The sequence below is a fragment of the Homo sapiens genome, chromosome 4 (genome assembly GCF_000001405.40).
Source record: "Homo sapiens chromosome 4, GRCh38.p14 Primary Assembly".
Lineage (NCBI taxonomy): Eukaryota > Metazoa > Chordata > Mammalia > Primates > Hominidae > Homo > Homo sapiens.
In genome coordinates, this window is record NC_000004.12 from 764850 (window position 1) to 784364 (window position 19515).

A 19515-nucleotide genomic window follows, 5' to 3' on the forward strand; every position below is an offset into this window, starting at 1 on the left:
CCCCCCCACCCCATCTCTAGGCACGTTCTTGCATGATTGGGGAGGGGCTGCAGATTTCATACCAGCATCAAGGTGGCCATGTCAGTGTGGGTTGAGCACCTCTCCGCTGCTAATCAAACCTCCTTATCCCCCAGCTGGACATTTTATGCAACGAGGAGATCCTGGGCAAGGACCACACACTCAAGTTCGTGGTTGTCACTAGGTGGAGATTCAAGGTGAGACACGTGATTTGATTTTCAGAGTCTGCTCTGAATGGCAGTGACTTTGCTGTGCATCTCTTATCTAAAATGTTAAATGACTCCAGCTGGGTGCAGTGGCTCATGCCTGTAATCCCAGCACTTTGGGAGGACGAGGCGGGCGGATCACGAGGTCAGGAGATCCAGACAATCCTGGCTAACATGGTGAAACCCAATCTCTACTAAAAATACAAAAAATTAGCCAGGCGTAGTGGTGGGCACCTGTAGTCTCAGCTACTCAGGAGGCTGAGGCAGGAGAATGGTGTGAACCCGGGAGACGAAGCTTGCAGTGAGCCAAGATCGTGCCACTGCACTCCAACCTAGGCGACAGAGGGAGACTCTGTCTCAAAAAAAAAAAAAAAGTGATGACTCAGCTACAGAAATTGTTGTGAAACACAGTTCTGGTCTTTCTGAAATCATCAACCCCAGAGCCAGCTTGGAAGGTGCCAGCTGAGCTGCGAAGGGCACAGGCCCTGGTGGGAAAGTGCTGAGGCCATGAGTGCCATGAGCAGAGGGTCCCCTGGGGCCTTTGGGCCCCTCTGAAGCAGGAAACCAATGGTGGAACTCTCCCACCTCAGCTGGTGTTGCTGCCTGGGGAGAGGGGGAGGAGCCAAGGCTGGCCTGGGGCTGGGCCAGAGGGTTTGAGGGAGAAGGGGGCAGGGGAGTGGCAGCCAGGGCCACATCAGGTACAGGTGGCCACCACGGTGTGCACAGTGGTCACTGGGTCACCTGGGGCCAGGGGAGAGGGCACATGTCTTCCTAGCCCGTCTTCCCCCAGCAACTTCTGGGGGACCCTTCTGTTGCTCAGAACAGAAGGGTCTCTGTGCAGCCCTGCATGTGGACTGTGCCTCACGGGACGTGATTCCTCAGCACCCTTCCCGATGAAGTAGGTCCTTCTCGCCTCCACCCCTGCTAAGCAGGCACTGTGCGTTCTTGTGTCTTCCAGAAGGCGCCGCTCCTGCTGCACTACAGACCCAAGATGGACTTGCTGTGAATGGTGCCACACAGCGCCCACAGACTGGGCCCTCGCACCCTTGGGTGCTCCCGGCCGCCGCGCTTAAGAACATTGCCTCTGGGTGTCATGTGGACCAGACTTCTGAATAGAGAATATTTATAACTTTTGTATGAGAGAGAATTCACACTCAACAAGACACTACCAGCACCACGTTTACAGAGGATGAAAACACTTCACAGTCTCCCAGAGCCGATCGTCCTCTCCCCCGCCCCACCCCGTGCTTCAGCCTTGCAGGGAGAGTGATGCTCCAGGCAACACGGTTCTGAGTCACCTTCTGACACGAGCTCCCTCTGCTTGCTTTCCAGGTCTTGAAAATCTGAATTCACTTCAGTTTAGTTTATGAATTTTAGGTTTCATGATAAGCCTCAAGTGTAGTTGGACTTTTATTGAATCCTTCCTAAGTTATTGAAAAAATGTCTTTTCATGGTGAATGACAATATTTATGTTGCCTTTAGCTTCTTGAAGATTTAGAAGTTATATAAAAAATTAATTTAAAAGCAAACCAAAAGAGGTTTCCATTAACATTATGATTTAACCATTGTATTTAATTTCCCACCTTATGAAACACAACAGCAGCTCCCTGACTGGTTCGCCTTTCATTGTGTGAGGTCGGCACTTGGACTCACTCAGAACTGTCGCTCACCTGTGGCTGACACACCCAGCCCTGGAAACGGGGCCCCAGACGCCACGTCGGGATTTCTGACATGCTCAGCAGGTAGACCAGAGGCCGTGTGACCAGCTCAGTGCTGGTTTACGGAACAACTCTTACTTTTAAAAATTACTTGTTCCCCCAAATTGTTGAGTGCCGCCGTTTGGTTTCCTATGTTTTCTTTCCCTGTTTTGATTTTGCTGAAGGGAGAGGTGGTGGTGGTTAGGATCAGAGCTCTCCTGGCATCCGTGGGGAGGATTTGCTGGTGGTGGCTTCGGGCTCATGCCCAGACACACTCACTGCCCCGTCTGTCCAAGGCCTCCCCTTCCCCTTTGCTGGTGGGAGGAGCTCGTGTGCTCCTTGGCCGCTTACTGGAAGGGCGTTTTTCAGAGCTGCAGGGACAGGGTGAGCAGCTGAAGGGCTAGGAGGGAAGCCGGCCCCCGCTCTGCAGAAGCTGCATTTCAGCTGAATCTGTGTTTCAGCCTCAGTTGGTTGCACCGTTAGCCCCTCTCCTCCCGGATGGTCATGTTTTTGTCACATTAGAGAATAAACAGCCACACACACATTTTTTTTTTTCCTTTAAAACAGTAACTTGGAAATATGAAAAGGCCAGAAGGAGGAGCAAGGGCTGTTTTCTGGAGTGGTTGAGGTGTTGTCCTGCAGTTGTCATTGTCTTCTCCACCGGGCTGTTCCCATTTATTTCCTGTGGAACTGAATCCCTCCTCCCTCCACTCCTTGGGAGCCCAGGTGGTCCTTGGCCACCATTCAGGCTTTCCAAGAAGCCAACCACCTTGGAGATTTTTTTTCTTGAATTTCGCTGTTTTCTTCTGCTTCCTTTAGATAAAAAGCAGCTCAAGAGACCTTATCTTAGGGATGAGAAAAACATGCATATTAATTCCATCTGAGTGATTGTCAGTGTAAGGCCTTTTAAAACAAAAGCAAGTTCTTTGTTAGGAATTGGTCAAAATTCATCTCTTTCTTTAAGCCCATCAACTCCCAGGACGGTTTGAGTTACTCAGTTACCTAAGCTTGCTATTCATCCAAATCATTTTCTAGAGTCACTGTATAAGGGTCTATGAGTAGCTGTGTATGAATAAATATTACCTGTCTACCTCAAAATACACATACTGCTGAAGCATTCTGTACAACCGTGTGTTATCACAGTGCAGTTTTAAGTGTAACGTTAGAACTTAGGCATTTTCCTGTGTGGCGGAATAAGAAAGGATTAAACAGTTACAAGCCTCCAAATTCAAATAAAATTAAATCACAGTTCAGATGAAACTGAATATCATTGTAATAATCTCATAATATATATTTGTAACTTTGTAGCTATCTTTGAAATCACTTGACTTTGCAATGGTGCTAAGCTGATAGATTTAAATACACAGACGGGCGAGTGGCGCCCGTGTCGATGTCTTCAGCCAGTGGTGACCCTGCTTTTGTAACCGCGTTAACCTGACAAAACCTCAGCAGCAGAAGTCCCTATTTTTCTAGGAGTTCATCGTGCAGACAGTCTTCACTACAGGACTCGGCCCTGGGGCCTCTGCCTCTCGTCTGACCTTGCAGCCTTAGTCGTTGGAGGCTGGAGCGCAATGGCCCTGCCGTCTGTGGAGCCTCTGGGCGGCCTTCTTTCCTTTCTGTCAACCTCTCATTTCACAGAAAAAGGCTGAATTTCATTTTTTCCAGCATGAAAGCCAGGATCGGTTAGTGGTTGGATTCTATTGGTTTTTTTTTTTTAAACAGATGGAGTTACTGTGAAGAAGTTTTCACAACTATTTATGCTGGTAAAACAAATGCTGTTAAATCACCTTATGCGTCGTTTTCAACAGCAGTGGGGCTAATTACCCGGAATACGGTCTCACCGATGCAGTTTTCATGGACATAGAAAATTCAAATAGAATATATAATATTGAATTTAAGATTTGGGGGGTTAAAAAAGAAAACTTAACTTTATAAAATTATTTATTCTATTTTAAGCCTTCTATCATATTTTCCCATCCAATTGTTTGGTTTCAGTGGTCCAGCTTTATTTACAGGCATATAAAATGAAATTGTGAGATGTTTTGCAAGCTTCTTTTTACTTTGAGTAGCTTTTAATTTGTATGTTTTTATGTGGATGAAGAGCATTTTTTATGCTTTTGTGCAATAGGTTCCAATATGCATTTATTAGACATCTGTTTAAATGGTAATGTAGCATTTATTTTGCTAAATTGAAAGGGAACATAGATGGAATTCCAAAATATGTACATTCAGCTGTTTGGTTTTTCGTTTTTCATTGTTATTATTGTGAGAATGCTGTTATTGGGGTTGTGTGTGAGTGCCCGTCAGCCAGTGATGCCTCGGGCCACGCTGTGGGGCCACCTCAGTCCTGCCTGGGTCCTGGTGCCTTGGACCCCACGTGCTTGTGGCCAGGCTGCCCCTGGGCAGGGCCATGTGGCCTCAGACCACAAGAGCGGAGCTGCCCTGGCCCAAGCACTGCAGCTGCCTGCACCCCCGGGCTTCGCAGCCTTGCTTGTTTTCTCTGAACAGCAACAGAACAGTGTTCACAGCGATTCAAAGGGTGGCATTGGGTTGGACGTTCTGGGTACAAGCCAACCTAGTCCCACGTTGTACGTGAATGTTTAATGTGCTCTCAAAACATGGAAAATAAGTTTAGTGCACATAGCTAAATCACAAAACATCCAATTTCTCTGTTTCCTCAGGAAGTCATTACTGCGCCACCACATCACATGACCTTAACATGATCAATGTATTTCTCTGCCTTGACATTTAAATACATAAATTGAGATAAGTAGATTAGAAAATCATTCAAATGATACCATAATTTGTACGGGACAGGGTGCGGGCAATGGCCACGTGGCCAAGGCCCTGCAGGAACGCGCCGAGGTCTCCCTCACCCTCCAGGTGTCCTTCGCACCCAACAGTGCGTCTGAGGAACGAGCTGCAGTTTGAGCGTTCCCCTGAGATGTGCGTAGCCTCCGTGTAAATGTCCACTCCCATGGCTTAATTGCCTATCAGACGCATTTTCCCAGACGAAAGCAATGTTGGGTTGGGGAAGACAGTGCAGCCACCCAGCCTTTACCAGCAGCGTACGGCAGACGAAGGCAGTCGAGGTGTGGAGGTGATCACGAAGATACATGTGTTTGACTGTTTAATTTGAAAGTTTACATTTTTTATGCTTTGTGTTGGTGTGTAATTTTTGTACTCTTGGTGGCTAGTTTTTGTCAAATCTTTTTTGGAATATTGCTTAAATGTTTTGATTTTATGATAGTGAAGCTTGTATTCAGTGTTTTGCCAATTAATATTATATGCTTGTAATAAAAGCAAAAGAAAAGCTTAAGTGAAAGTGTTTCTGGCTGGAAATGTATTACATAAATCATTTGTATGAGCATGAGAGATGACTTGCTCATGGGATGAGCAATGCTGTGGGTATTGGATGGACCACTCAGGCAGCCTGGCCGCACACACACACATGCATGCTACATATGTGTACGCTCAGACCACATGCCTGCACATATGTCCACACACCAGCCCACGGCTCCCTTCCTCACCCCAGCCCTCCCCACTCCCAGGTTAACCAATGTCTCGATTTGCTTCAGGCGGCATTTGTAAACTGTCACCCTGCTTGCAAACCCTCATTTAAATTGGTCCAGCATTTGCTACCAGAGTTTAGGCCACAAACTTTGTAAAGCTCAGTTTGTCTCCTTGCAGAAAGAGGTTGCTGCAGTTTGGAGCTGGTTATGCCAAGGAAAATACGGCTAAAAAAGAACTTACTGATTCCCATAGGTGTGTCAACTGACAAATGAATGTTCCATCTCCCTACGACAATTTGCTGCCCCTCCCCAAAAAAAGCACTATGGCCAAAATTTCAGTTTTTAAAGGTTAAGTAAAATACAACAATTCTGAAACTCTTAAGAGAACCAGAATTGGAAGGAAAGGAGAATGGCCAAAATTATATTCTCACAACCTAAAGCAGTAAACTTTAAAAATAGGTTCAGTCTTAGACTTGACTTAATTGACTTAGGCTGGGCATAGTGGCTCACACCTGTAATTCCAGCACCGTAGGAGGCCAAGGCAGGCTGATCATCTGAAGTCGGGAGTTCGAGACCAGCCTGGCTAACATGGTGAAATCCCGTCTCTACTAAAAAATATAAAAATTAGCCGGGTGTGGTGGCAGGGGCCTGTAGTCCCAGCTACTCAGGAGGCTGAAGCAGGCGAATCGCTGGAACACAAGAGGCAGAGGTTGCAGTGAGCCGAGATCACGCCACTGTACTCCAGCCTGTGCTACAGAGCAAGACTCCATCTCAATTTAAAAAAAAAAAAAAAAAAAAAAAAAAAAGGACTTGGCGGGGTGCAGTGGTTCATGCCTGTAATCCCAGCACTTTGGAAGCTGAGGCGGGTGGATCACAAGGTCAAGAGATCGAGACCATCCTGGCCAGCATGGTGAAACCCCATGTCTACTAAAAATACGAAAATTAGCCAGGCCTGATGGCACGCACCTGTAGTCCCAGCTACTCAGGAGACTGAGGCAGGAGAATCACTTGAACCCGGGAGGCAGAGGTTGCAGTGAGCCGAGATCGCACCACTGCACTCCAGCCTGGGCGACAGAGCGAGACTCCATCTCAAAAAAAAAAAAAAAAAAAAAAAAAGACTTCACTGACTCAAAGTGTATTTTACTTATTTTCGGCCAGTCCATCTGTCCATCTTAGAAATGTCAAGATACTGGCTGAAACCACAAGCAGACACTGATGTCAGCGTCAACTGCAGGGAGTAGGGGAAACACAAGTCCTCAAAATTGGGTCCACCCACTTTGGGGACTGGGCCATGAAGCCTGGTGATAGCAGCCACGGGAGCCTGAGGTCTGAGAGCTTCAAGCTCCATCTGAGCACAGTGGGTGGGGTCCCTGCACCAGGACCCCAGAAACAAGCTCTGGAAGTTGGTTCCTGTGGGTTCTGCAGCAGCTCAGGGCTGCAGGGACCTTGACGCTCTCACAGCAGAGCCAAGCCTCGGCCTCTCTGCTCGCTGGTGGTTTTGTTTCTCCCATGCAGTTCTGTGTGCATAAGACAAAAATCCTGTGTTAGTCATGTGTGTTAGTACACCTGTGACCGGGTGAAAGCCAAACAGTGTCCCCTGAAAGGCAGCAGAGGAACAGAAAAACAAGGGGGTTTGCTGTGATGAGACCCGCACCGTCTGCGTTCAGGAAGCCAGGGCCTTCTGCTGCTAGAGGCCCCTGAGGCCCACCAAATCCTCCCAAAGTAGATGTCCATATGGCTTCTAGTTTTTAAGGATAAAACTCCCTTGAGATGCACTGAGTCCCTCCTGAGGGGCTGTGGAGGGCTGAGCCTGCATTGGTTGGGAGGCCTGTGTCCTGACGGTGCTCTGCAGTAGCTACACTGAACGTCCCCTTTAATAGAAAGAATTATCTGTCTTCCGCTTACACAGAAATGCAACTGTGCTTACATAAATCAGCACAGAGTCCTAAATCCATAAATAAGCAAAGAGTCCTTTCTCTTACCCACATTACTCCTCAGTCAAGGAAAGTACACAAAGCACATTTGTTTCATTTTTTTTGGTGGCTTATGCTCCAATTGTGAGGAAGGAGATGCTCCCCTGGGCCCACCCCGCCCACCCCAGAGTGTCTGCCCACGCCAATTCCTGGGGAAGGTGTGGCCTGCTCAAGGGATAAGACTCCTGTCGACGTTGGACAAACAACCATTTGACCACTACATTTATTCCTATGTTTTTTCTTTGTGTGTGTGTGTGTGTGTGTGTGTGTGTGTGTAGACAGAGTCTCACTGTGTCACCCAGACTGGAGGGCAGTGGTGTGATCTCGGCTCACTGCAACCTCTGCCTCCTGGGTTCAAGCGATTCTCCTGCCTCAGCCTCCCAAGTAACTGGATTACAGGCACCTGCCACCACGCCAGGCTAATTTTTGTTTTTAGTAGAGACGGGGTTTCACCACGTTGGCTGGGCTGGTTTCTAACTCCCAACCTCTGGTGATCCGCCCGCCTCGGCCTCCCAAAGTGCTGGGATTACAGGCGTGAGCCAGCGCGTCCAGCCGAAGGTTGCTTTTTTAAAGCATTTTTAGTCAAAGTCTTTTGAAAGATGAAAGGTCTGGCCTTGGTCACAGTAGTCCTGCTGTGAAGACGCATGAAGGTGCCCTGGGTCAGGGGAGCAGCCAATTTCACTGACACCCTGGGACGCACAACCAGGACCTGACCTCTTGCTGGGAGATTACCCCGAGACTTCAGTCATCACCATGCACACTGCCTTGTAGGAAGGCTGGGAACCCTCAGGTGGCGACAGCCCCCAGTCTGCCAGGGCCCCTCAGAGGTTGAGGGGGCAGGGTCCCTCCTCACATTTCTCACCTGCAGCTGGTGCCACAACTGTGAATGTTGGAGTTGTCCAGTCCCACAGCTTCCTCTGCCCCACAGCACAGGGCAGATTGGCCTGCAGGGCCTCATCACCCCCATTCTCTGAGAGGAGATGTGGCTATCTCTGGCAGGCCTCGCTCTGGCTGGTAGCTTTCTCCTGGGCTGCCATCTTCTAGTGCCAGTGAGGACTCTGGTCATCTCACCTGCTTAATTCCCATACTGTGTTGTCCACAGCTCTGCTCGGGTCTGGTAGTGAGAGGTGACAGTGTGCTGGCAGCCCTCTCAGCCCTCGCTTGCTCTCGGCACCTCCTTGGCCTTGGCACCCACTCTGGCTGCCCTTGAGGAGCCCTTCAGCCCGCCGCTGCACTGTGGGAGCCCCTTTCTGGGCTGGCCAAGGCCAGAGCCGGCTCCCTCAGCTTGCAGGGAGGTGTGGATGGAGAGACAGACGCGGGTGGGAACCAGGGATGTGGGCAGGCTTGCAGGCCAGCAAGAGTTCCGGGTGGGCGTGGGCTCGGCAGGCCCTGCACTCAGAGCGGCCAGCCGACCGGCTCTGCTGGCCCCGGGCAGTGAGGGGCTTAGCACCTGGGCCAGCAGCTGCTGTGCTCAATTTCTCGCTGGGCCTTAGCTGCCTCCCTGCAGGGCAGGGCAGGGCTCGGGACCTGCAGCCCACCACGCCTGAGCCTCCCACCCCTTCCATGGGCTCCTATGTGGCCCCAGCCTCCCCGACGAGCACTGCCCCGTGCTCCACGGCACCCAGTCCCATCGACCACCCAAGGGCTGAGGAGTGCAGGCGCACAGCACAAGACTGGCAGGCAGCTCCACCTGCAGCCCCAGCGCAGGATCCACTGGGTGAAGCCAGCTGGGCTCCTGAGTCTGGTGGGGACTTGGGAGAAGCTTTATGTCTAGCTAAGGGATTGTAAATACACCAATCGGCACTCTGTATCTAGCTCAAGGTTTGTAAACACACCAATCAGCACGCTGTGTCTAGCTCAGGGTTTGTGAATGCACCAATCGACACTCTGTATCTAGCTACCCTGGTGGGGACGTAGAGATCTTTTGTGTCTAGCTCAGGAATTGTAAAAGCACCAATCAGCACCCTGTCAAAAACGGACCAATCAGCTCTCTGTAAAATGGACCAATCAGCTCTCTGTAAAATGGACCAATCAGCAGGATGTGGGTGGGGCCAGATAAGAGAATAAAAGCAGGCTGCCCGAGCCAGCAGTGGCAACCTGGTCCTGTCCCCTTCCACACTGTGGAAGCTTTGTTCTTTTGCTCTTTGCAATAAATCTTGCTGCTGCTCACTCTTTGGGTCCACACTGCCTTTATGAGCTGTAACACCGCAAAGGTCTGCAGCTTCACTCCTGAAGCCATCGAGACCACGAACCCAGTGGGAAGAATGAACAACTCCAGACGCGCCGCCTTAAAAGCTGTAACACTCATCGTGAAGGTCTGCAGCTTCACTCCTGAGCCATCGAGACCACAGACGCAGTGGGAAGAATGAATAACTCCAGACGCGAAACCTTAAGAGCTGTTAAGACTCACCACGAAGGTCTGCAGCTTCACTCCTGAGCCATCGAGACCACGGACCCAGTGGGAAGAATGAACAACTCCAGACGCGCCACCTTAAGAGCCGTAACACTCACCACGAAGGTCTGCAGCTTCACTCCTGAGCCATCGAGACCATGAACCCAGTGGGAAGAATGAACAACTCCAGACACAGCACCTTAAGAGCCGTAACACTCACCGCGAAAGTCCACAGCTTCACTCCTGAGCCATCGAGACCACGAACCCAGTGGGAAGAATGAACAACTCCAGACGCACCACCTTAAGAGCCGTAACACTCACCACGAAGGTCTGCAGCTTCACTCCTGAGCCAGCGAGACCACAGACCCACCAGAAGGAAGAAACTCCAAACACATCCGAACATCAGAAGGAACAAACTCCAGACACGCCACCTTTAAGAGCTGTAACACTCACTACGAGGGCCCTCGGCTTCATTCTTGAAGTCAGTGAGACCAAGAACCCACCAATTCCGGACACAGTAGGACCCCCTTTATGGTGTGGGGTTTTTTTTCTTTTTTTGGAGACAGGGCCTCACTCTGTCACCCAGGCCAGAGTGCAGTGGTGCAATCATGGCTCACTGTAACCTCGGGCTCCTGGCCTCAAGCCATACTCCCACCTCACCCTCCAGAGTAGCTGGGACTACAGGCACCACCACACCCAGCTAATTTTTTATTTTTGTAGAGATGGGGTTTTGCCATGTTGCCCAGGCTCGTCTCGAACTGAACTCAAGCAATCTGCCCACCTCGGTTTCCCAAAGTGCTGGGATTATGGCAGGAGCCTCCACGCCAGCCCTTTTTCTTTATTTTGTGTGTGTCTGTGTGTGTGTGAAAGAGAGAGTACCATTCTGTCACCCAGGCTGGAATGCAGTGGAGCAATCTCAGCTCACCACCAACCTCCACCTCCCAGGCCTAAGCAATTCTCCTGTCTCAGCTTCCCAAGTAGCTGGGATTACAGGCACCCACCACCACACCCACCTAATTTTTGTATTTTTAGTAGAGATGGGTTTCACCATGCTGGCCAGGCTGACCACAAATGACATTCCTCAACACAAATGATCCGCCTGCTTCAGCCTCCCAAAGTGTTGGGATTACAGGCGTGAGCCACCTCACCCAGCCTTTTTTTTAATGTTGGCTTTTCTTCTGTTAGATCAGCTCCAGAAGCAGCTTATCCTGTGTCATTTAATCTCATCAGAATTTAACTAGGATTGCAATGAATGTACAGTTTACTTTGTGGGGCAGCTGACATCCTTCACCCACGATGTGGCATGTCTGCCAACTCACCCTCTTTTAGCATCTTCCTCAGGCGGTCCTTACACACTTCTCTTCCAGCTTTTGTGATTCTTTCATATGGAGGTGGAGGGTTGTGGCTCATGCTCCGATGGGTTATTGTGGAGTAGAGAAACCCACTGGATCTGGCACGGACTGAACTCCTCGGCTGGTCCTCAGGGTTCCTCAGGGGATTTTCTTGGATTTACATGCAGATGATTGTATCATCAACAAACTACTAAACCCTGTCTCCAATATTCATCTCCTTCCCTCTTTTTCAGTTCTCTCACCCTGCTGGGATGTCTGGAAAACACTCACAGTGATAGCAAGGAGAACTGTGCTTGTCTGACTTTAATGGGAATACTTTAAATATCTTGACTTAAGCATGATTGCTGCAGGGTTTTGACAAATACCATTTACCAAATAGAGAAATTATCTTCTGTTACAGCTTATTAAAAATCAGGAATGCCGGGGGCAGTGGCTCACACCTGTAATCCCAACACTTTGGGAGGCTGAGGCAGGTGGATTACCTGAGGTCAGGAGTTCGAGACCAGCTTGACCAACATGGAGAAACCCCGTCTCTATTAAAAAAAATAGAAAATTAGCCAGGCATGGTGGCACATGCCTGTAATCCCAGCTACTCAGGAGGCAGGAGAATTGCTTGAACCCGGGAGGCAGAGGTTGTGGTGAGCCGAGATGGCGCCACTGCACTCTAGCCTGGACAAGAAGAGCAAAACTCCATCTCAAAAAAAAAAAAATTCAGGAATACGTGTCCATTTTTAAAAATGTTTTAATATTTTAAACTAAAATTTTTAACTTTTTTGTTTGAAGCTTTAACACATGTACAGTCACGCGACCACCACCACAGTCCACACACAGAATGGCTCCACCCCCAAATCTCCTTAGTGCCACACCTGACCACGGCGCCTTCCCCCAACCTTCCTTCACCTCTTCCCACCCCCATGGTGCCCAATGTGTCAGTCTCTCCCCATTGTCACTGCAGAGGAGTATTTCACTGCATAGATATACCACAGTTTACCAGTTCACCCAATGAAAGGCATTTGAATTTCAGCTTTTGATGATTATGAATAAGGCATCAGTAAACATTTACGTACAGTTTTTATGTGGACTTAAGTTTTTCATTCTCTAAATACCCAACAGTGGGATTGCTGGGTCATGTGGCTGTGTACATTGAACTTTATAGGAAACCACCATGCCGTCTTCCATTTCCAGCAGGTCCACACCCTGGCAGCTTGGGGCACCACCAGCATTCTCTTGCACTGCGGCTGTGGTGCAGGTGCCTCGTGTCCTGCGTGGTGGCTGAATCTGCATTTCCTGGTGGCTGGTGGTGTCAAGCCTCTTCTCCTGTGCCCAACAGTCAATGCTGTGTCATTGCTGGTGCATGTCTGATCAGGTCTTTTCCACTTTTTAGTTGGACTGTTTTCTTACTGTTGAGTTTTAAGAGTTCTCTGTGTATTCCAAATACAGGTCCTTAGTTGACAGGTGATTTGTGAATATTTTCTCCTCATCTTTTCATTCTTTTCACACTGTCTTTGGTAGTTCAAACGTTTTTAGGTCAGGCACGGTGGCTCATGCCTGTAATCTCAACTACTTTGGGGCCGAAGGTGGAAGGATCACTTAAGGCTAGGAATTTGAGACCAGCCTGGGCAATACAGCAAGACTCAGACTCTGGAAAAAATTTTTAAAACCAGGAATAGTGGCTTGCACCTCTAGTCCCAGCTACTCAGGAGGCTGAGGAAGGAAGATGGCTTGAGCCCGGGAGGTCGAGGCTGCAGTGAACTATGACTTACCACCACACTCCAGCCTGGACAACACAGCATGACCCTATCTCAAAAAAGTAAGTTTTTAATTTTGATAAAGTCCAATTTACAAATTTTTCTTTTATGGATTCTTCTGTGGATTATGCCTTTGGGATCATGTCTAAGAACTCTACCAAATGTCATCAGGTACAAAGGTATTTTTCTGTTTTCTTCCAAACATTTTATAGTTTTGTTTTACGTTTACATATGATTGGAGTTAATTGTGTACAATGTGAGGTTTAGGCCAAGGTTCCATTTCTACCATATGGATGACCAACTGCCCCACTGCTCTGTTGAATGGACAATCCTTTCTCCACAGGGTTGCTTTTGTTTGCACTGCTGTCAAAGATCAAATGGCCCTATTTATGTGGGTCTGTTTCTAGACTCTCTGATCACTGACCCATCTGTCTGTTCTTTGCCAATACGACAGTCTTGATTTTTGTGGCTTTAAAGTCTGTTAAAACTGTGTAATGTGATTCATCTAACTTTTTTGTTCTTTTTAAAACATTGTTTTATCTATCCTTTTTACTGTTTTAGCTAGCTCCTTCACCATTCTGTATACATTTTAAAATCATCTTTTCTAAATCTAAAAAGAGTCCTACTGCAATGTTTTGGAATTTTGTTAATTTCACAGATCCTTCTGAGACTGGCATCTTATGTTCAGTCTTCCAGTCTATGAGCGTGCTGTGTGCCGTCTCTCCACATACATAGTCTTTTTAGCATACAGATCCTGTTTTGTCTTGTTAGATTTATACCTCTCTCTCTCTCTCAGGAGCTACTGTGTTTTTAACTTCAGTTTCCAATGTTTTATTGTCTATAGAAGTAAGATTTTTTTTTTTTTTTTGAGACAGTCTGGCTCTGTTGCCCAGGCTGGAGTGCAGTGACATGATCTCGGCTCACTGCAACGTCTGCCTCACGGGTTCAAATGTGGCATGATCTCAGCTCACTGCAACCTCTGCCTCCCAGGTTCAAGCAATTCTCCTGTCTCAGCCTCCTGAGTAGCTGCGATTACAGGTGTGTGCCACCACACCCGGCTAATTTTTGTATTTTTAGTAGAGACAGGGTTTCACCATGTTGGTCAGGCTGATCTCCAACTCCTGACCTGGTGATACGCCTGCCTCAGCCTCCCAAAGAGCGTTGGGATTACAGGCATGAGCCACCACACCGGGTCTTTTATTTTTTTTGAGACAGAGTTCCACTCTTGTTGCTCAGGCTGGAGTGCAATGGTGCGATCTCGGCTCACTGCAGCCTCTGCTTCCCGGATTCAAGCGATTCTCCTGCCTCAGCCTCCTGAGTAGCTGGGATTACAGTGCCCGCCACCATGCCTGGATAGTTTTCCTATTTTTAGTAGACACAGGGTTTCACCATGTTGGTCAGCTGGTCTCAAACTCCTGACCTTAGGCCATCCACCAGCCTCGGCCTCAGCCTCCCAAAGTGCTGGGATTACAGGCATGAGCCACTGCACGCAGCCCTAAGATTAATTTGTATGTGTTACTGGTGAACATTCCAAACTCACTTACTGGCTCTACGAGGGTCTTTGTGGCAATCATTGCTGTTGCTTTAGATGAGTGTTCTCTATATAGACAATCATGTAGTCTGTGAATAAGGAAGTTTTATCTCACCTGTAATCCCAGCACTTTGGGAGGCTGAAGTGGGAAGATCACCTGAACCCAGGAGTTCAAGACCAGCCTGGGCAACATAGTGAGACCCCCCCGTATCGACTAAAAATACAAAAATTAGTCGGGCTGGTGGCACATGTCTGCAATCCCAGCTACTCTGGAGGCTGAGGCACATGCTCTCTGGAAGGAGGTGCCTGGGTGTGGCTCACCCTCCTCTTTTTCCCTGCTACCTAAAAGGAGGTCCCCAGGTGAAGCTCACTCACAACTCAGAAAGTTCAGGTCACCTCTGTGAGGGCATATCTGCATACACTATTTGGACTCGGCTGGATGTGCATGCCTCTGGTCCCAGCTACTTGGGAGGCTGAGGTGGGACAACTGCCTGAGCCCAGGAGGTCCAGGCTGCAGCAAGGCAACAGCGCACCATTGCACTCCAGCCTTCTGAATGACAGAGGAAGATCCTGCCTCAAAGAACAAATATTTGGACTCCTCCTGCATGGTCAATTGTCTCCTCTCTCCCATCTATTTATTAATTCAGTCTTTTATTTTGGAAATGGGATATTACTAGGCCTTGACTCCTGGGCTCAACTGATGCTCCCACCTCAGCCTCTGAGTAGCTGAACTACAGGTCCCACTCTGCCCAGCTCATTCAGTCACTTATTACATCAGCAAAGACTCATCGATATTTCTTCAGCCCTGTGCATTATAATCCAATGCTACTTTATTCTGCTATTCAAGTTATTCCAGCCTCGCCCATTGGGACCCCTTGTCGCTGTGTCCCTTTGGCCCACAGTTGTGGGTTGTTTTTTTTGTTTTTTTGAGATGGAGTTTCACTCTTGCTGCCCAGGCTGGACTGCAATTGTGTGATCTCAGCTCACATCAACCTCCATCTCTCAGGTTCAAGGGATTCTCCTGCCTCAGCTTCCCCAGTAGCTGGGATTACAGACATGCGCCACCACACCTGGCTAATTTTGTATTTTTAGTAAAGACGGGGTTTCTCCACGTTGGTCAGACTGGTTTCCAACTCGCAAACCTCAAGTGATCCGCCCGCCTCTGCCTCCCAAAGTGCTGGGATTATAGGTGTGAGCCACCGCGCCCAGCCTGTGTTGTTTTTTAAATCATTTCCAGGCTCATGGTGTATACCTTCTGCGCCAGTCCTAGGTGAATTTCTCCTGGTTGGTGAGTTTTCATTGTTTACCTCTGCTCACACAGGGACTCGAGGAGGGAGACTAGGACTCAGAGTCCTCCTTCATCTTGTCACTTCTCTAAACAATTACTTTTTGTTGAAGACGCCATGTAAGCTGGAATTCAAAGCCATCTCTTTGAACAACTGTGTGAAATAATCGTGCTAAACTGTTATTCTCCTTTAATCGTTCCAACCAAGCACCCACGGGGGCCATTATTCCTCTCCTACAACTGCAAGGCAGTGCCTCACCAACTAGCTTTGTTCCTGAGGCAAGCGGCAGGAACCCCTCTGCTTTCCTCAGTGAGCAAGCGGCCCCTGACCCTGGCGAGTGAGTTTTCTCTTCACAGCCCCCTGTCCCTGCTGCCCACTGAGCCAGCCAGCCCGAGGGTGGAAAAGTCATTCTGGCTCTAAGCTTCCAGCACAGTCCGGGAGACCACACGGGTCCTGGGGAGGGTGGCTAAGCCCGAGGGGCTTTATAGGATGAGTCACAAGAAAGTCCATCTGGTGGGCCCTCCCTGACTCCCCTCCACTGTCCCCGGCTCACGGCGAGGAAGGCAAGGCTGGTGGGGGGGACAGGAAAGGGCTGGGGTCTCTCCCCACCTCCACTGCCAACGCCCTGCAGACCCCCAGGCCACAGCCTTTCCCGGGGCTCCCCCAAGGTATGGGAGGTGGGGCGGGTCCAGTTTACGCTGGTTTCAAAGAAGTGAGAGCGCCCCGCCGCCATGTCATGGAGGGTCCCGCGCCCCCACCCCTTGCCTGGGGTCGTGTGTGGGCAGCCGCAGAAAGCGCCCCGACGGCAGGAGCGGGGTTCCAGGCTGAGACCGGGCCTCGGCGGCGCCCCTTCCTGCCGGGAGTGGCGCATCCCAGGACCCACAGACAAACAGGGCCAGCCAGGGTCACCCGGAGCGCGAAGGCCGGCTATGGGCTTAGGGTGGGGTCTGGTCCCTACGGCCGGCCTAGGGGGAACGCGGGACAGGAGAAGGTCTGGGAAAAACCTGCTTCCGAGGCCTCGGCTTCGGGGCGTCCTCCTGAGCTGGCGCCAGCCCGCAGCGGGGCCGGGCAGGGACGCCGGCCTAACGGTGGGGACCGGCAGGGCCTGGGGGCAGGACGAGACAAGCACACAACCGACGGGGCGGGGCCAGGCGAGGGCACGGGGCCGAAGAAGCTTCTGCCAGGCCCGAGACCCGCACTTAGTTACCTGAGAAGGCGGGAAGGTGCGGCCGCGGGGTGAGCGGCGGACTGACCCAGCTCCAGCGCCTCTGCAGAGGCTTGCAATGGCGTCTCTCGGGCTCTGATTGGTCAGGCCTCCACACGTGAGCCTCTAGGAGCCAATCATGTCGGCCCACCTAGCATGCGCTGATTGGCTCAGGCTGGCCAGGGGCGGGCGCGGTCCTTCCACGGCCCGGTCCCCGCTCCCTTCCCCAGGCCCGGAGGCCCCGCCCGAGCGGCTCCGCTGGGGGCGGTTCTGCTGGAGAGGACGGATCTGCTGGGGAGATGGATATCCTGGAGGGGCGGATCTACTCGGGGGGCGGGTCTGCTGGGAAGGCCGGATCTGCTGTGAGGGGCGGGTCTTCTGGAGGGGCCGATCTGCTGAGGGGGCCGGATCTGCTGCCTGACAGGGCTTCCTGGCCTGGGGAGGAGGCCGTGTCTGGAGCTTGAAAGCCGGCCCCGCTGTGTTCAAGATACAGTCAAACGTTCAGAAGGAGGAGACTCCGGGGGCAGGGTGGTGCCCAGCCAGTGCATGGGGCCAGGGCCACGCTGGTGGCACCCAGGCAGCGCTGCCTCCTGGCTCTCGAATGGCTGTTCTCTGCCCAGAATGCTCTCCCACGGGACACGCGCCTCCCTCCGGGTCTGTGCACGTCACTCTGACAGAGAGGCCCCCTGACCACTCATGAAATAGTAACCCTAACCATTGCTCTCTGCTCCCTGTCCTGCTTGATTTTCCTCCAGGGCAAACACCGCCACTTCCATGTTTATCATCTGTCCTCCATCACTAGGAAAACCAGTTCCAGGAGGGAGGGACTAGTATTCCCAGCCCCTAGAACAGAGCAGCGCATATCACAGGGGCTCAGTAAACATCTGGGGAGGAGTGCCATTCCCAGGAGGCCTCAGACCCCGTCACCTGAGATGAGAGCTGGATCCCGGAGAAGCTCAGGTCTGACCCAGCATTCATTGCTGTAGGAAGGGCTCGTCTAGACTCCAAGGGAGCCGGGTGCGGTGGCTCACGCCTGAAATCCCAGCACTTCGGAAGGCCGAGGCGGGCGGATCACCAGGTCAGGAGATCCAGACCATCCTGGCTAACACGGTGAAACCCCGTCTCTACTAAAAATACAAAAAATTAGCCGGGCGTGGTGGCGGGTGCCTGTAGTCCCAGCTACTCGGGAGGCTGAGGCAGGAGAATGGTGTGAACTTGGGAGCGGAGCTTGCAGTGAGCCGAGATCGCACCACTGCACTCCATCCTGGGGGACAGAGAGAGACTCTGTCTCAAAAAAAAAAGACTCCAAGGGAAAGCTGCCTGGGTCGTGACCTGGCACGTCCAAGTCGCTGCTTAGGCTTGCAAGGGGGTCCAGACCAGGCTGTGGATGGGAAATGGGAGGCTGGGGGAGGATGGAGGCTGAGCAGTGGCTGGATGTTGGGGTGCCCTGTTGAGGGGCAGCTGGCAGCAGCCACGGACACAGGGGTGGGTGCAAAGACACTGAGTTTCTGTTCCAGGAGGAAGGGGGGCCAGCTGGCAGAGGAGAGATCACCCTGGGCAATTTGGTGGTGCCTGGGGTGCACACTTCCCCAGAGGCAGCAGGAGGAGGAGCTGGATACACCCTTCCCTGGGCTTGGAGGAGAGCACGTTCCCTCCCAGCTCCCACCTGGCATCCAGGAGGGCCCGGCCTGGGGTCAGGGCACATGGGGCCCTCCTGCCCTGGGACTGGGCAGCTCCCTGGGGCATTCCCAGCCAGCAGCATCAGGAAGGTTACAGGAGACCCAGACATGCTGCTCCCTAGAGAGGGCTCCTGACAAAGATTTTTTGTGTGGTCAAACTTTAGTTAACTTCCTGAATCTTCTGGTAGGCCCATTGGCCCACTTCCTTGTAAAATGCAGTTTTAGCAAAGAATCTGGCTAAGTCAGTTTAGCAACAAACCTTCATCCTGGAGATCTGATTGGGGTCCTCATGCTTCACCACCCTATGGGTCTGTCTGATTGCCCTGCCTGTCTCCAGCTAGAATCCAGTTAGATGGGTTTCATCAGAATCCCCCAACCCCTGATGTTCCTCAGTCATTTTCCATCCACTGAGCCCACCCTGCTCCTTGGCACCCATGGCAAGCCCTGTTGCATGGTCCCTGTACCTGTAGTGCTGGTCCTGAATAAAGCCTTCCTCACTCAGCTGTAACAAGTGTCACGGGACCATCTTTTCTTTTCTTTTTTCTTTTTTTTTTTTTGAGAGGGAGTCTCGCTCTGTCGCCCAGGCTGGAGTGCAGTGGTGTCATCTCGGCTCACTGCAACCTCTGACTCCCAGGTTCAAGGCGATTCTCCTGCCTCAGCCTCCCGAGTAGCTAGGACTACAGTTGCTTGCCACCTCACCCAGCTTTTTTTTTTTTTTTTTTGTAGTTTTAGTATTAATGGGGTTTCACCTTGTTAGCCAGAATAGTCTCCATCTCCTGACCTCGTGATCCGCTCACCTCGTCCTCCCAAAGTGCTGGGATGACAGGCGTGAGCCACCGCGCCCGGCCTGAACCACCGCACCTGGCCTGAACCACCGCACCTGGCCAGAATCATCTTTTAACAGCTTCCAAACTTGG

The 19515-nt window shown here is 50.9% G+C and overlaps 2 protein-coding genes and 1 long non-coding RNA gene across 16 annotated transcripts in view, besides 9 other annotated features; 1 reads left to right on the forward strand and 2 right to left on the reverse strand.

Moving 5' to 3' along the window:
* PCGF3 (polycomb group ring finger 3) overlaps positions 1–5240 on the forward strand; it is a 64258-nt gene extending 59018 nt beyond the window's left edge. For all 10 annotated transcript variants that reach the window (NM_001395245.1, NM_001317836.3, NM_001395246.1 and 7 more), the window contains 2 exons: positions 135–215; positions 1183–5240. In NM_001395245.1, coding sequence (NP_001382174.1) covers positions 135–215; positions 1183–1230 — 129 coding nt within the window. In that variant the 3' untranslated portion in view covers positions 1231–5240. The remainder of the gene's footprint in view (positions 1–134; positions 216–1182) is intronic.
* Positions 1–16999, reverse strand: part of LOC124900163 (chloride intracellular channel protein 6-like) — a 33762-nt gene extending 16763 nt beyond the window's left edge. For 2 of the 3 annotated variants that reach the window (XM_047416474.1, XM_047416472.1), the window contains exon 1: positions 16923–16999. The gene's annotated coding sequence lies outside the window, so the exon portion shown is untranslated. Of the gene's footprint in view, positions 1–62; positions 199–16922 lie in introns of those variants that run through there. The other variant, XM_047416473.1, reaches the window with a different exon arrangement.
* The window catches only part of PCGF3-AS1 (PCGF3 antisense RNA 1), a 21407-nt gene extending 4407 nt beyond the window's left edge, over positions 1–17000 (reverse strand). Inside the window, exons 1-2 of one of the 3 annotated variants that reach the window (NR_171661.1) lie at positions 16923–17000; positions 63–198 (exon numbers count right to left, since the gene is read on the reverse strand). This is a non-coding gene — a long non-coding RNA (PCGF3 antisense RNA 1). Of the gene's footprint in view, positions 1–62; positions 199–15299 lie in introns of those variants that run through there. The other 2 variants (NR_036512.1, NR_036511.1) reach the window with 2 other exon arrangements.
* Positions 498–1045: an enhancer, noted in NCBI's record as "H3K4me1 hESC enhancer chr4:759135-759682 (GRCh37/hg19 assembly coordinates)". NCBI's record gives its function as "activates a minimal SCP1, AML or CMV promoter by ChIP-STARR-seq in naive H9 embryonic stem cells {active_cell/tissue: H9 hESC(naive)}" and the evidence as "EXISTENCE:reporter gene assay evidence [ECO:0000049][PMID:30033119]".
* Positions 1135–1194: an enhancer, noted in NCBI's record as "active region_21134". NCBI's record gives its function as "activates an Ori minimal core promoter by ATAC-STARR-seq in GM12878 lymphoblastoid cells {active_cell/tissue: GM12878}" and the evidence as "EXISTENCE:reporter gene assay evidence [ECO:0000049][PMID:35858748]".
* Positions 3898–4839: an enhancer, noted in NCBI's record as "H3K4me1 hESC enhancer chr4:762535-763476 (GRCh37/hg19 assembly coordinates)". NCBI's record gives its function as "activates a minimal SCP1, AML or CMV promoter by ChIP-STARR-seq in naive H9 embryonic stem cells {active_cell/tissue: H9 hESC(naive)}" and the evidence as "EXISTENCE:reporter gene assay evidence [ECO:0000049][PMID:30033119]".
* Positions 16115–16832: an enhancer, noted in NCBI's record as "H3K27ac hESC enhancer chr4:774752-775469 (GRCh37/hg19 assembly coordinates)". NCBI's record gives its function as "activates a minimal SCP1, AML or CMV promoter by ChIP-STARR-seq in primed H9 embryonic stem cells {active_cell/tissue: H9 hESC(primed)}" and the evidence as "EXISTENCE:reporter gene assay evidence [ECO:0000049][PMID:30033119]".
* Positions 16115–16838: a biological region, named in NCBI's record as "H3K27ac hESC enhancer GRCh37_chr4:774752-775469".
* Positions 16759–16838: a silencer, noted in NCBI's record as "silent region_15108". NCBI's record gives its function as "represses an Ori minimal core promoter by ATAC-STARR-seq in GM12878 lymphoblastoid cells {active_cell/tissue: GM12878}" and the evidence as "EXISTENCE:reporter gene assay evidence [ECO:0000049][PMID:35858748]".
* Positions 16833–17549: an enhancer, noted in NCBI's record as "H3K27ac-H3K4me1 hESC enhancer chr4:775470-776186 (GRCh37/hg19 assembly coordinates)". NCBI's record gives its function as "activates a minimal SCP1, AML or CMV promoter by ChIP-STARR-seq in naive H9 embryonic stem cells {active_cell/tissue: H9 hESC(naive)}" and the evidence as "EXISTENCE:reporter gene assay evidence [ECO:0000049][PMID:30033119]".
* Positions 16939–17288: a silencer, noted in NCBI's record as "silent region_15109". NCBI's record gives its function as "represses an Ori minimal core promoter by ATAC-STARR-seq in GM12878 lymphoblastoid cells {active_cell/tissue: GM12878}" and the evidence as "EXISTENCE:reporter gene assay evidence [ECO:0000049][PMID:35858748]".
* Positions 17550–18267: an enhancer, noted in NCBI's record as "H3K27ac-H3K4me1 hESC enhancer chr4:776187-776904 (GRCh37/hg19 assembly coordinates)". NCBI's record gives its function as "activates a minimal SCP1, AML or CMV promoter by ChIP-STARR-seq in naive H9 embryonic stem cells {active_cell/tissue: H9 hESC(naive)}" and the evidence as "EXISTENCE:reporter gene assay evidence [ECO:0000049][PMID:30033119]".